Source organism: Homo sapiens, chromosome 8 (assembly GCF_000001405.40).
Source record: "Homo sapiens chromosome 8, GRCh38.p14 Primary Assembly".
NCBI classification, from domain to species: domain Eukaryota; kingdom Metazoa; phylum Chordata; class Mammalia; order Primates; family Hominidae; genus Homo; species Homo sapiens.
The window spans coordinates 73,006,928-73,021,676 of record NC_000008.11 but is presented as its reverse complement, the minus strand read 5'-3'; the positions used below and the strand labels follow the sequence as shown (position 1 = coordinate 73,021,676).

Below are 14,749 nucleotides of genomic sequence, written 5' to 3'. Positions count from 1 at the left end.
TAAGCTACTTAACCTCTTGGTGTCCCAGTTACCTTATATGTAAAATGGTGGAAACAATAGTACCTATTTCATAGGATTGTTATGAGGATGTAAGAGTTTTATGTGAAAGAGTTTAGAACAGTGCCTGGCAAATAGTAAGGAATATATTAAATGTTTGCTATAAACTTTGTCACCCATTTGATTTTACAGTAGTGTATTAAGAAAGACTTGCTTTCTCTAGCAGCCTAAAAGATTGCAATAACATGACAAATCTCTTTGCTCTGGGTTGAATTCATAAAGGAAGCAGTCGTTTTTCTGCCTATTTTCTTTTCCTCAGGTCCTAATTCTACTTGACAATCACCACACTAATTCTTGGGAAGGTGGGGAATGACTTGGATTTTCTTTTATCCAACCTGAAAAGAAATTTTTAAAATTCTCAAAAGAGAAAAAGTTTATTTAACTAAGAAAGTACCTAGTATTTGCTTTGACTGCTAGCTATTGTATCTTTGAATGACGTTTTGGGCTACTTACTGTCTACTAAAATTCTCCCTACTTGGTTAAAATTTTATATATTCTTGATTACAAAAATCTAAAATTTACCATTAATTAAAAATAGTATCTACTTTTTACATAATCTTTAAGCATCAATTGAGAGTGCACAAACCCCTGGTTTTTAAATTTTCCACAACATAGAGGCAACATATGCTTAAGTATGGCACATTAAGTTCCAGCCCCCAGTGCTCATGTTAAGACTATAAACCAAAGGTCAAATTTCTGAAGAGAAACAATACATTAAATTTTACTACTGCTCAACTTCTACTAGGTTCCTCTTAATTTCTTTTAAATGTTATTTTCTAGAAATATAATAAGCATAAAAGTAATTTATTCATACCTGAATTTTAATTAAATTCTGTATTTCTTCATGAAGTTTGTCATGTTCCTTTTCAATTGAACCCCAAATCATCAGGGCTGATTCCAAGGGTGTAATTCGTTCATCATTTTCAAACTGTGCATCTTTTAAAAACAGAACAAAAATAAGTAACTCAGAAAGCTAAGTAGAACTTTGTCAGTTTTTAATAATGCATTCCTTTAAATATTTACTGAGTGTATACTATGTGCTAGGTACTCTTCTTGTTTATACCAGTTTAGAAGTGATTTTATTTTCTAAGTTAATTTGCTCATTAAGATCAATTTCAAATAGAAAAAGGTTGATGAGATTACAAACATTTGAAGATTTTCTTTACAAAAACATGAATTTTAAGAACGAAAGTAAACTATTTTACATAACATGTCATAGCAACAGAATTCTTAAGTGGTTCCTAAGTCTAATGCATTATAACAAACCTCAAGACAGGCCAGTTTTCTCACCTATAAAATGGTGAGAATAAATACTATCTCACAGAATTTATGTGAATATATAATGAGATAATAGTTGTACTATTATTAAGCTTTCCTAAAAGAGTTGTGATCAAGTTATTCAGAACAAAGACTCACAACAGCTGATAACTAATTAGCAAATTACACAGCAACAACCCATTCGGACATTCAAGAGCCTTCATGATAATGTCTTACATGTCTAGCATCTACAGTCTACAATTCATTCAATAAATATTTATTGATCACTCAGTATATATAGGCACTCGCCTAAAAACTTGGAATGGCTCAGTAAGACAAAATCCTGCTCTTATGATACGCACATGCTAATGAGAAATAAATACAGTTTCAGAGTAGTAAACAATACAGTTTCAGAGTAGTAAACAATATAGTTTCAGAGTAGTAAGGGCTAGAAGAAAGAAAAAAGGTTCTGGAAATGAAGAATGGTAGGGGAGAGGGAAGCTCTTTCAGACAGGTTAAAGACCTCTCTGAAGAAGTGACAGTGGAGCTGAGAACAGCGTAATGTGAAGCAGAAGGAACAGTCACACAAAGATCTGGAAGAAAAACATTCCAGAGGGAATGGCAAGTGCAAAGGTCCTGAGGAGGAGTTTGATGTTCAAAGGGCAGGAAGAGCCAGGTGGGGGCGTGTGCCTGTAGTCTCAGCTACTTGGGAGGCTGAGGTGGGAGGACTGCTTGAGCCAGGAGTCTGAGGCTCAGTGAGCGATGATGACACCACAGCCTTCCAGCGTGACCTTGTCTTGAAAAAACAAATACAAAGGGCAGGAGGAAGGTCGGTGGGCAAGTTGGATGCATACTCTTAGAAAGATGATGGAAAAGGCAAGTAGTTGTCTGTTTTGGAACTTATTTTGAATGTAGAATAGAACCTGCTAATGGACTGCATGTAGAGCATGAGGAAAAAATGGAGGACTCTTGGGTTTTAATAATTGGATAAATGGTGCTAACATTTACTATCATAGGAAGCCTGGGTGAGGACCAAGTTTATGAAGTTGTATATGGAAATCAAGAGTCTATTATCCAGGTAAACTATAGTTTATTTTCAAAATAATGCTAATGTTTTCATTTTATCTAGACTACCTTCCCCCCACCCCCACACCACATCTGAGGATGTGGATAGACTACCATTTTTATACTTTCTTTCTGACAAAATCTAGCAATTCTTACAGGCATAGTGCAAACAGCACCTCTTTCTTGAATGCTGTCCTTACCCCAGCAGCTAAGAGACTAGGAAATGTCCTTTCTCTAAATCTCCTGTATGTGCTTGCTTTGGCAGCAAATATATAAAAATTGGAAGAATGCAGAGATTAGCATGGCCCCTCGAGAAGGATGACACAAAAATTCATGAGCACTGCATTAATTAAAAAGAAACTCTTGTATCATTATTCATTTTTTAATGCCTTGCAGTACTTTATACTTACCTCAACAACCCTATTAGCTTTTACAGTGTCTTGAAGACAAAAAACTTCTTACTCTATAATGCATATTTCAAATTTTGGGGGGCAGAAGCCACTTAAGTGTATTTTTCTAAATCCCTGTAATTCCTAGCACAGTTGTAGTTCCATAGCAAGTATGCAACAAATAAGCATAATAAAGAGAATTTTTTATTTTTATTTTTACTTATTTATTTTTTGAGGCAGTGCTTTGCTCTTTTGACCAGGCTGGAGTGAAGTGACGCGATCTCGGCTTACTGCAACCTCCGCCCCCTGGGTTCAAGCGATTCTGCTGTTTCAGTCTCCCAAGTAGCTGGGATTACAGGTGCCCACCACCACGCCAGGCTAATTTTTGTACTTTTAGTAGAGACGGGGTTTTGCCATGTTGGCCAGGCTGGTCTCGAACTCCTGACCTCAGGTGATCCACCCGCCTCAGCCTCCCAAAGTGCTGGGATTACAGGCGTGAGCCACCAAGCCCGACCGAATAAAGAGAATTTTAAATAGCACATCCTTTTTTCCTTGAAAAACCAGAGTGAGCATGCAGTTTAAATATTCGTAGTTTCAAATATTTTTACTTTATTTCCTGTTGTCCTCTCCAAATTGTTTTTCCAACATTTTAGATATAAAAATATATTCATTCACATACTAAGTCTCTTTATATTCCAGGTTCTGTGTCAGGTACTTAAGATACAAACATGAAAAAAAAAGTTCCTGACCTTGTGGAACTCACATCCTAGCTATGGAAGAAGACATGCAGACAAACCAATATAACTGGTACTTTAATGGAATTGTGCATTATGCCAATGGTTCTCAATGTTTGCTATACCTCAGAAACATCTGAAGAGCTTTTGAAAAATATTGATGCATGGCCAGGCGCGGTGGCTCACGCCTGTAATCCCAGCACTTTGGGAGGCCAAGGCAGGCGGATCACGAGATCCGCCAATCAAGAAATTGAGACCATCCTGGCCAACATGGTGAAACCCTGTCTCTACTAATAATAGAAAAATTAGTCAGGCATGGTGGCGCACGCCTGTAGTCCCAGCTACTCATGAGGCTGAGGCAGAAGAATCGCTTGAACCCGGGAGGCGGAGGTTGCAGTGAGCCAAGATGGCGTCACTGTACTCCAGCCTGGTGACAGAGTGAGACTCTGTCTCAAAAAAAAAAAAAAGAAAAAAAATATTGATGCCTATACCCATCTCCCAGAGATTAAATTCTCAAGCAGAGTCTAGTGTATTTGAGGAACATGGTATTAACTCTAAGTAGGAATAGCAGAAGTGAATCCCTCATGAAACAGAAGTCATCCAAATTGGGGCATTAAGGATAAACAGATGATAACTAAGTGTAGACTACAAGGATGGGAAGGAGAACACTTCAGGAAAATGGAGCAGCATAAGGTAAGAAAGAGGTGTACAAAAGATATTCATGCTAGTAACTAACACTGAGTGTCAGGCACTGTGGCACTTGTTTTATACAGTAAGATCTGAGAGCTAGAGAGGTCACACACCAAGCAAGTAGTACAAGCAGACACCAAGACACTTAAATATCACTTACTGTGCCTCAAAAGTAGTGAAATGAAAATGCAAAGGTAGACTGCCTAATTTTTCTTCCTCATTTTTCATCTGCTTGCTTTCTTTCAAGAGCTAATTTCAACACACATTTTCAAATAAGTATTTCTTGACTGACATTACTTAACCCTTCTCACTTATCTGCCTTCCTTCTTATAAATGTGACATAGAGAAAAATGTATGTTAGATCTTAGCTTCAAAAAATTTACAGTATAGACATTCACTTCCAGGTGGGATGTAGTATACTGCAGCAAACAAAACACTCACACTACAGCTAGAAAACAGTTAGATAAACTCCAAAATCACATTGCTAAAGACATGGGATAGCCATGGAAGCAATGAAAATGAGATGAACTAAAATTCCAGAGAGAATCCCTTCTGAGGTGAGCTGCCGATTTGCTGATTTTGGATAAGGCTGAGGATCCAGTGCACTCCAGCCAGAGAGACTTTACTGGAGAAAGACAAATAAGAACAGCTTCTGGTGGTTTCCTTGGGGCTGGCACGTCGACTGGAAACTAGAGAAACTGCAAACATGATTGGCTTTTCTCCACAGGACATGTGCTGAGTTCCACGGCAATGCAATAGGCTGCAGTGGAAAGGCACATTAAGTCTCCCAGAGTTTTGGGAGGCCTAGGCGGGAGGATCACTTAAGGCAAGGAGTTCAAGACCAGCCTGGACAACATGAGACCTCGTCTCTACAAAAAATTAAAAAATTAACTGGGCCTGATGGTGCACCTGTAGTCCTAGCTACTCAGGAGGCTGAGGCAGGAGGATCACTTGAGCTCAAGAGTTTGAGTCTGCAATAAACTATGATGGCACCACTGCATTCCAGCCTGGGCCAGAGAGACACCCTGGCTAAAAAAAAAAAAAAAAGCTTAAAGTTCCATAAGAGGAGGATGACAAGCATTTCCCCTTTAAGATATCTGCTGTATTTCAGAGCTACGTGGGGGTCTACAGCCACATCACCCCAAACATGTCCAATCTTGTCAAACCTATGTGGGGTAGGAGACTAAACCCAATATGGTAGCTACTAGCCATACATGATTACTGCACAGCTACTAGCCATACATGATTACTGCACAGCTAAAATATGGCTAGTTTGAATTGAGATGCACCTTAAGTATAAAGTACACATGAGATTTCAAAGACTTACTCCAAAAAAAGGTAAAATATCTCATTTGATTTTTTTTAAGAGATGGGGGCCTTGCTGTGCTGCCCAGGTTGGGGTGCAGTGGTGTGATCATAGCTCACTGCAGCCTTAAACTCGTGGGCTCAAGTGATCCACCCACCTCAGCCTCCCAGAGCTGGGATTACAGGTGTGAGCCATGTGCCTGGCCTTACTAACATTTTTTACACTGACTACTTGTTGACATAGTGTTTGAGAAATATTGAGTTAAATAAGATTATCAAAATTAATTCCACCTATTTTAATTATCATTATTATTTTTTAGCTACACCTGCTGGAATGGGAATTTCTAAATTTCATGACAGGATTTCATTCTGTCACTCAGGCTGAAGTGAAGTGGCACAATCACAGCTAACCACAGCCTCAACCTCCTGGGCTCAAACGATCCTACCTCAGTCTCCAGAGGACCACACGTGGTTAACTTTTTATTTTTATTTTTTTTTGTATTTTTAGTAGAGACGGGGTTTCACCACGTTAGCAAGGATGGTCTTTATTGCCTGGCCTCGTGATCCGCTCACCTCGGCCTCCCAAAGTGCTGGGATTACAGGCGTGAATCACCACGCCCAGCCAATTTTTTAAATTTTTTGTAGAGACAGGGTCTCGCTATGTTGCCTAGGCTGGTGTCAAATTCTTAGGCTCAAGCGATCCTCCTGTCTAGGCCTCCCAAAGTACTGGGATTACAGGTGTGAGTCACTATGCCTGGCCTACTTTTCTTAACATAGCTATTAGAAAATTTTAAATTAGACATGTGGCTCACATATCTCTATTAGGCAGTGCCACTATAGAGCAAAATTAAAAAAAAAAAAAAAAAAGCAAAAGGGTTATGTATAGCCAAAAATCCAATACATAAAATTTTAAATGCTGCCTCAGTTTAGTGCATTATGGTGAAATACATTGATTCTTGACAGCTGACCCTGGCCTATTATATCTAGGATATATCCAAAAGAGTATCCTGGTAAATTCCAAGATTAAACCATGAGATCACACATAAAATCTGGATTCCCCCCTGCCTTTTTTGGAGAAAAGGTTATCCAGGAAGCAACTAAGATGTGCTGAACAACTGCTATGTGTAAAGCACTGCCAGGCACTTTAGAATACTTTTCCACCTTAATGTAGAAAACAACCCTGTTAACAACAGTGTCAACTTATAGTCTGCATGGTCTGGAATTCTGCTCCAGCCTGCTACTTCTCCAGCAACTGGCCCAGGCCTACCTATGGCTCTGTCTCTTTCACAACTATTCTGCCTCTATCTAGTTCTATCCATTTATGGTCCTGGCACCAACTCCAGACCTACCCTCACCCCCCAAACAAAGCAGACTACATCAGCCAGAGATACTTTAGTGAAGGCCTTGACAGTGGTGCTAATACACTGGGATTTTATGTAAGACAACACTTCAATAAGCAAGCAGTTTTATGTAAGTACTGCCCACTACTCAGGATTGTTGGAAAAGTATTTTGTAAATTATAAAAACCAATCTAAATACAAAATTATTTCCATCAAATAGCCTTTTAAAATGACCATGTTGTAAATACCAGCCATTACTGATAAACTGAATCAGCCTTGCCCATTACAATCTAAAATGGAACTACAGAGACAAGGGAGAGAGATTACAGCTATAAACTGTACTTCTTACGTAAGCGCTGGCATCAAGTTCAAATAAAAGGTTTCAAATATAATAGTTGCCAGTAAAAACAGAGTGTGTATGATTGGAGTCACCACAAAGTTAGCAAATAGAGTCAATGAAACACACTTCCCCAAGAGTAGCATCAGAATCACCTGGGAATTTATTAGAAATGTATATTTCAGAGCCCCATACCCATCCTACTGAATCTGAAACTCATGAGAGTTAGGGAGACTCAGCACTATGTTTTTTTTTTTTTAATAAGCCCTTTAAGTAATTCTGGAGCAGGCTAAAGTTTGAGAACCAATGTTCTAAGATGACAGGGACTACATTTCTTTTACTTGCTTTAGATATGACTGTATGTGTACACACACACACACACCACCCCCCCACACCCCTATGCACCAGACACTTGTAGGCAAACTTCCCCCAAAAACGTCTGTTTCTTCCCATTGTCTTACATTAGAAACAGATTGAAATATTTCCAATATAAAATAAAAAAACATATTTACCAAGGGTTTTTCCTGCTGCAATTCTTGTCAAAAACTGACATATGTATATCGTTCTCAACTGGCAAGCTGTTAGACTGGATAGTCCATGAATAATAGCTAAAAAAGAAAAAAAGTAAATTTTATTAAAATCAAACTTGATCCAGTAGTGCCACTGTGTGGTTTGTTGAGTAATAGGCTACAAACATATTGTAAAAATTATCATAAATTTAGAGTTGTACATTTAAGATCTGATTAAAATTCAGAACAAAAAAAAAGAATAGCAATGAAGACATTTCTTACAAAATATAACTTTCACATGTAGAATAAAAATTGTTGAAAATTCTTTCACAAGTAGCAGTCTACATTAACAAAAAAGATTTAGATACAAATTGTAAAATGTGTAAAATCATTGGTTGGAAACTTATACCTAGAAACATTTCATATAATAGAAAATATTTTATATTATTTCTATCTAGGTTTCAGTTAAGTGAGTCTGTTTAGCTTACAAAGTTTAAAACCTATTAATATTAACCTCCCCAAACTTGAATGCCCACCCAGATGTTGAGTCAGGCAGTGATTACATACAATACCAAGTAAGCCATACTCCTGGACCACAGTGAGCTTTTTACCATGTAGCAATGAGACAAGCGATTGAACTACTGAAGTAAAAATGTTGTGAAAACTTTAAAAAGACAAGTACAGAATGCTTTGGAAGCATATAACAAGAAATCTGTGTGTTTAAGTATCTTCTGCACAGAGGAGGTGTCAGGGAAGGCTTCTCTGAGGAAATAATGTCTAACCTAAGACCTGAAGGTGCCACTACTACCATTATACCTAACCCAGGGCTTGGTTGGTGTATATATAAAAAACTTAAATAACTAGCAAACTGAAAAGCAATTCTGTAGCAATTAAGCATATAAGACGAATATATTTTTACCCAATTTCCTCCCTCAATTCTAACATAATCTTATGCTACACCAGAGATTATCTGGACCATACACAGTCATAATAGAATTTAACAGGATTTTAAGAGAGCACAAAATTTATATAGAATTTAAACACAAGCCATTCAATATTTACTGAACATCTACTGCCAGCCTGTGTTAGGAGGTGATGACTTCAGATAGCCAGTCTCTGCCCCCATGAAGGTTTTAATCTGAGAAGACACAATTAAACAAAAAGTTATGTAAGTAACTAATTAAAATTTTAATGAGTACCACGAAGGATAGGTGCAGACATACCTCATTTTATTGTGCTTTGCAGATTGCATGTTTTTTACAAATTGAAAGTTTACCGCAGCCCAGCTTGAGCCAAGTCTAACGGCACCTTTTTTTTTTTTTGAGACAGAGTCACGCTCTGTCGCCCAGGCTGGAGTGCAATGGTGCATCTCCACTCACTGCAAGCTCCGCCTCCCAGGTTCATGCCATTCTTCTGCCTCAGCCTCCCGCATAGCTGGGACTACAGGCGCCCACCACCAAGGCTGGCTAATTTTTTTTGTATTTTTTTAGTAGAGACGGGGTTTCACCATGTTAGCCAGGATGGTCTCGATCTCCTGACCTCGTGATCTGCCCGCCTCAGCCTCCCAAAGTGCTGGGATTACAGGCATGAGCCACCGCGTCTGGCTCATTTTTCTAACAGTACCTGTACCTGTCACATTTTGATAATTCTTGCAATATTTCAAACTTTTTCATTATTATTATATCTGTATGGTGGTCTGTGATCAATAATCTCTGATGTTACTATTGTAAAGGTTCTGGAGTACCACAAATCATGCCCATAAGACACAAACTTATTCCATAAATATTGTGTGTGTTCTAACTGCTCCACTGACCAGCCCTTCCCCTTACTCCCTCTCTTCAGGCCTCCTTATCTCCTGAAACACAACAAGATTGAAATTAGGCCAATGAGTAACTCTACATGCCCTCCAAGTGTTTCAGTGAAAGGAAGAGTTGCAAGTCATTCACTTTAAATCAAAAGCTAGAAATGATTAAGCTTAGTGAGGAAAGGATGTCAAATGCCATGATAGGCTGAAACATAGGCCTCTTGTGTCTAACAGCCAAGTTGTTAATACAAAGGAAAAGTTCTCAAAGGAAATTAAAAGTTCTAATCCACTGAACACATAAATGATAAGAAAGTAAAAGAGCCTATTGCTCATATGGAGAAAGTTTGACTTGGATAGAAAAAAAAAAATCAAACCAGCCACAACATTCCTTTAAGCCACAGCCTAATCCAGAGCAAGTCTAAGAAGGCTGACAGAGGTAAGAAAATTGCAAAAGAAAAGTTGGAAGCTAGCAGAGGTTGTTGGTTCATGAGGTTTAAGAAAAGAAGCCATCTCTGTGACATAGAAGTGCAAGGTGAAGCAGCAAGTGCTGAAGTAAAAGCTACAAGTTATTGAGAAGATCTAGCTACAATCACAAATGAAGGTGGTTACACTAAACAACTGATTTTGTTTTTTTGTGAGACAGAGTCTCGCCGTGTCACCCAGGTTGAAGGGCAGTGGTGTGACCTCAGCTCACTGCAGCCTCCACCTCCCAGGCTCAAGTGATTGATTCTCGTGCCTCAGCCTCCTGAGTAGCTGGGATTACAGATGTGTGCCACAATGCCCAGCTAATTTTTGTATTTTTAGTAGAGATGGGGTTTCGCCATGTTGGCCAGGCTGGTGTCTCAAACTCCTGACCTCAAGTGATCCAACTGCCTTGGCCTTCCAAAGGGCTGGGATTACAGGTGTGAGCCACTGTATCCAGCCAACAACAGATTTTCATTGTAGATGAAACAGCCTCATATTAGAAGAAGATGTCATAGAGAACTTTCATAGCCAGAGAGAAGTCAATGCCTAACTTTAATATTTCAAAGGACAGGCTGACTCTCCTTAGGGACTAATGCTGCTGGTGACTTTAAGTTAAACCCATTGCCCATTTCTCATTCTGAAAATCTTAAGGCCCTTCAAATGATATATCAACTTTGCCTGTGCTCTAGAAATGGAACAAGATGACAGTGCCTCTGTTTACACCATGGTTTACTGAATATTTTAAGCCCATTATTGAGATCTACTGCTTGGAAAAAAGATTCCTTTCAAAATACCATTGCTCATTGATAATGCGCCTAACCACTCAAGAGCTCTGAGGGAGACGTACATACAAGGAAATTACTGTTGCTTTCATGCCTGATAACACAACATCCATTCTGCATCCCATGTATCTATTGTTCTGTCTCCCTGTCCCAGCCTTACAAGTAACTGTGAAATAACCAATCTTCTTTTTGTTCTGTTTCAGCTTCCTTAAGTCCTTACTGTCTATAAAGCCAACCCCCAACTGCTCAATTCATTGAGCACTTATTTTATGGAATAAAGTATTACCTGAATCCAGAATCACAATAAAGCCAAGTGAGGTCTTTAAACTAAACTTAGTTGTAAACAAGATCGGGGTGCTAGGTGTACTCATTGTTACTAGAGTTAGGTTGCTTCTGTGCCCTTTTATCTGACAGAGTAAGGAAATACATATTTGTATAGTAACCTATGTCTACACATGCATATGCAAATATTTCTAAGTCATCTATACCTACATGAGCTAAACAGTTCATACTGATGTCTCCAACTCTAAGAGAACTCTAAGAGAATTCTGAGGAACTAGCTTCATTCCAGGATTTAATTTTCTACTTAATGTTAATTATCCCTGGCTCCAGTGTTAACCGCAATACAGAGGAAAGATCCTTGAACTGGAAGATAAAGGATGGGGCTGAAACACTCCCTTTTAACCTATCAGTACCTTAAAACTAAGATTATTTGCCTAACTCACAGGATTATGGTGAAGATGAAATGTGTCAAAATGTCTAAGAATTCTATTAAATAGCATAATTATAGTATTATAAATATATACTTGCACAGTAATTTTAGCGCCAACTATGAATGAAGTACCAGAACATCTTTCTGTTGTTTTTCAAAAAGCTACACTAGGCCAGGCGCGGTGGCTCATACCTGTAATCTTACAGCTGCGGGTGGTGGTGCACGCCTGCAGACCCAGCTACTCCAGAAGCTGAAGCGGGAGGATACCTGAGCCTGAGGAGGTCGAGCCTGCAGTGAGCTGTGATGGCGCCACTACACTCTCCAGCCTGGGTGACAGTGAGACCCCATCTTGGGACGGGGGCGGGGTGCAGCAGATTTCATGAACAGTTTCATTCATTCATTTATTTATTCATACAGGGTATCACTCTGTTACCCAGGCAGGACTGTAGTGGCACGATCTCGACTCACTGCAACCTCTGCCTCTTGGGTTCAAGCGATCCTCCCACCTCAGGCTCCCAAGTAGCTGGGACTTGCAGGCATGTGGCCAACATTTACTTTTATTCTGAGACTACACAGAATAAAAGTAACTGCTGTAGAGCCAGCAGGCCAAATGAGATTTAATAGCTCACAAATTAACATAAAACACTGATGCCTCGGGGGTTACTGGAGGCCACAGGGACTGCTGAATATTACTACAGGAATACCTGAGTAGAAAGCGCCAAAAGAGACAAAGGTACTGGGTTGAGTGGAACTGTATACATTTTAACTCATTTAATGCTTGCATCAAACCTAAACAGGGTCTTATTTTCATTTTATCGAAGAGGAAATCAATCTGAGAAAAACTCAGGTGCTGACAACGGGCGAACCGGGATTCGAACAAAGTTCAGCCCGGAGCCTCGGACTCCCAGCTAATCGGCCGCAGCAGCCCCTCCCTCGGCGACGTAGGGAACCAGCCCTCTGCCGCGCACCACGGAGCCCGCATCCGCCCCCCGCGTAGTCCCGGCCCGGACGCGGTCTGCACTCACCCTCTGCGCTGTTGCGGGTCCTGCGGAAGTCCTCGGAGCGGCCGTCGCGGAAAGCTCGGCAAAGAGAGAGGCAGAGGAAATCGAGCATCCAGCCGGCAGCCACGGCCTCGGCCTCGGCCACCAGGCCCGCGTCCTCCTCCTCCTCCTCCTCCTCCTCGGGGGCCCCCACCTGCACCTGGCACTCGAGCAGTTCCTGGCATTCGAACTGCTCCTCGTCGTTTCTCTCTGTTTCTGCCATCTGCTCCTCAGTAGGGTCGGCATCCCTACCATCCGCACAGCCCCGCGGGCTCGGGGCCGCTGAGGAAACATCCTCCGCCATGTTAAATGGCTCGCTTGGGTACTGCCCCTTCAGGCGCCGAGCAACGATTGGCTCGCATTCGAGGGCTCGGGGCGTGGCCGCGGAGAGTCTCTTCCGCCGGCGGGACATGGGCGAGCGGTTCAAGCCTGGCTTCTGATTGGCCGACACCTGTTCCGGCTTCTGATTGGCCGACACCTGTTCCTGCCTCTGGGCGTTGAATTTGCCGCCAGTCTAGGGCAGGGCTTTGTAGGTAAACCGGACGACTCCATACTGAGCGAGGAGCGAGATTAGGATAGGAGGAGGCAGCTTTATCTTCCTTATTCCTTGTAAAATGCAACCTTGACTGGAACAACAACACGGTTATTTAAAATGAAAACGCATTTGCCTGCAGCCTATTTCAGAAAGAGATGGGTAATGAGAACTTGTCACTATTAGACAAGCGTAACACTTTTAAACCCTAGTTTTCATCTAACAGTTACTACGTGATCACGAACAACAACTATTACAACTGACAATATCCATGCTTCTCCAACCTTAAGATGCATCAGAATCAGCCTGGGGGCTTGCTAAAACACAAATTGCCGGGCTCCACTCCCAGAATTCCTGTTCTGCTGGTCTAGCTTGGGATCCTTGAATTTGAAAGTCCAACGCTACTTGGCTGGGCACCACATTTTGAGATCAGTGCTCTAGAAAGAGTATACTATAATGGAAATGTATCTCAATCAAGGTTTGAGATCGACTATAGAATGCAGTTTGTAGAAAACAAGTGAATGCTTATTTTGAATTTTGAAACTTAGCACAAAAAGAAATTCTAAATGGGGATGGGTGGTCTGGTTATTGTTTTTGTTTTTTGTTTGTTTTTTTTTTTTCCTTTGAGACAGGATTTCGCTCTGTTGCTCAGGCTGGTCTCCAACTCCTGGCTTCAAGTTATCCTCCTGCCAAAGTGCTGGGTTTACAGGCCTGAGCCACAACGCCTGGCTCCGTTTTCTGTTCCTTGATGTGGGTTCACTTTATGAAAATTCACTGAACATCGTTTATGCACTTTTCAGTATGTGTGTCATAATTGAATAAAAAGTTTATTTTAAAAGCCTTTCTGTTTATAACGCATCCAGCATCATCAAAGCCTTTCCACATTTTCACACACTTCTTGTTATTGTCTTTAAGGTGGTACAGTTTAAGTGTTGAGTAACTAAGGCACTGTATTCTAGTATTAAGAATGCTTAGGTTGGAATATTCCCTACCAGTTACTCACTAGCTGTGTGACCTTGGGTAAATTACGTGTCAGTTTTCTTGTCCGTATAATGTGAATAATAATAATACCTGCACGATTAAAGGGCTTGGTAAATGTAAAGAGTTTAAAACAGCCGGGCGCAGTGGCTCACACCTGTAATCCCAGCACTTTGGGAGGCTGAGGCGGGCGGATCACCTGAGGTCAGGAGTTCGAGACCAGCCTCAACATGGAGAAACCTCGTCTCTACTAAAAATACAAAATTAGGCGGGTGTGGTGGTGCATGCCTGTGATCCCAGCTACTCGGGAGGCTGAGGCAGGATAATTGCTTGAACCCGGGAGGCGGAGATTGCGGTGAGCCGAGATCGGGCCACTGCACTCCAGCCTGGGCAACAAGAGCGAAACTCCGTCTCAAAAAAAAAAAAAAAAAGAGTTTAAAACGAAACCTCACCAGGCACAGTGGCTCACTTTGTAATCCCAGCACTTTGGGATGCCAAGGTGGGAGGATTACTGGAGCCCAGGAGTTTGAGGCCAGCCTGGGCAACATAGTGAGATCTCATCTCTACCGAAAAAAAAAAAAAAAAAAGCCAGGGAAATAGTAAGTGCTCAATTAGTATTAGCAGGAAGAGCAGAATATTTGTGCTGCCAGGAAAAATGATGATGCATCAGAAGAGATCTCTTCTTCAGGCTCTAATTGTCCCATGGGAAGTAAGGTCTGTTTTGAAATAATACAGTGGAATGGGGATAGAGGC

At 40.8% G+C, this 14,749-nt stretch overlaps 1 protein-coding gene and 1 pseudogene across 18 annotated transcripts in view, besides 2 other annotated features; one reads left to right on the top strand and one right to left on the bottom strand.

The window, feature by feature from the left end:
* Window positions 1-12,813, bottom strand: part of TERF1 (telomeric repeat binding factor 1) — a 39,260-nt gene extending 26,447 nt beyond the window's left edge. For 12 of the 18 annotated variants that reach the window (NR_182138.1, NR_182139.1, NR_182140.1 and 9 more), the window contains exons 1-3: window positions 12,472-12,813; window positions 7,687-7,782; window positions 872-993 (exon numbers count right to left, since the gene is read on the bottom strand). Coding sequence is in view for 14 of the 18 variants with exons in the window: in NM_001413364.1 (NP_001400293.1) it covers window positions 872-993; window positions 7,687-7,782; window positions 12,472-12,790 (537 nt within the window). In the remaining 4 variants the exon portion in view is untranslated. Of the gene's footprint in view, window positions 1-871; window positions 994-7,686; window positions 7,783-8,745; window positions 8,822-12,471 lie in introns of all 18 variants that reach the window. The other 6 variants (NM_001413365.1, NM_001413367.1, NM_001413366.1 and 3 more) reach the window with 2 other exon arrangements.
* RNU6-285P (RNA, U6 small nuclear 285, pseudogene) lies at window positions 2,633-2,732 on the top strand (annotated as a pseudogene).
* Window positions 12,868-12,917: a silencer, noted in NCBI's record as "silent region_19286". NCBI's record gives its function as "represses an Ori minimal core promoter by ATAC-STARR-seq in GM12878 lymphoblastoid cells {active_cell/tissue: GM12878}" and the evidence as "EXISTENCE:reporter gene assay evidence [ECO:0000049][PMID:35858748]".
* Window positions 12,948-13,047: a silencer, noted in NCBI's record as "silent region_19285". NCBI's record gives its function as "represses an Ori minimal core promoter by ATAC-STARR-seq in GM12878 lymphoblastoid cells {active_cell/tissue: GM12878}" and the evidence as "EXISTENCE:reporter gene assay evidence [ECO:0000049][PMID:35858748]".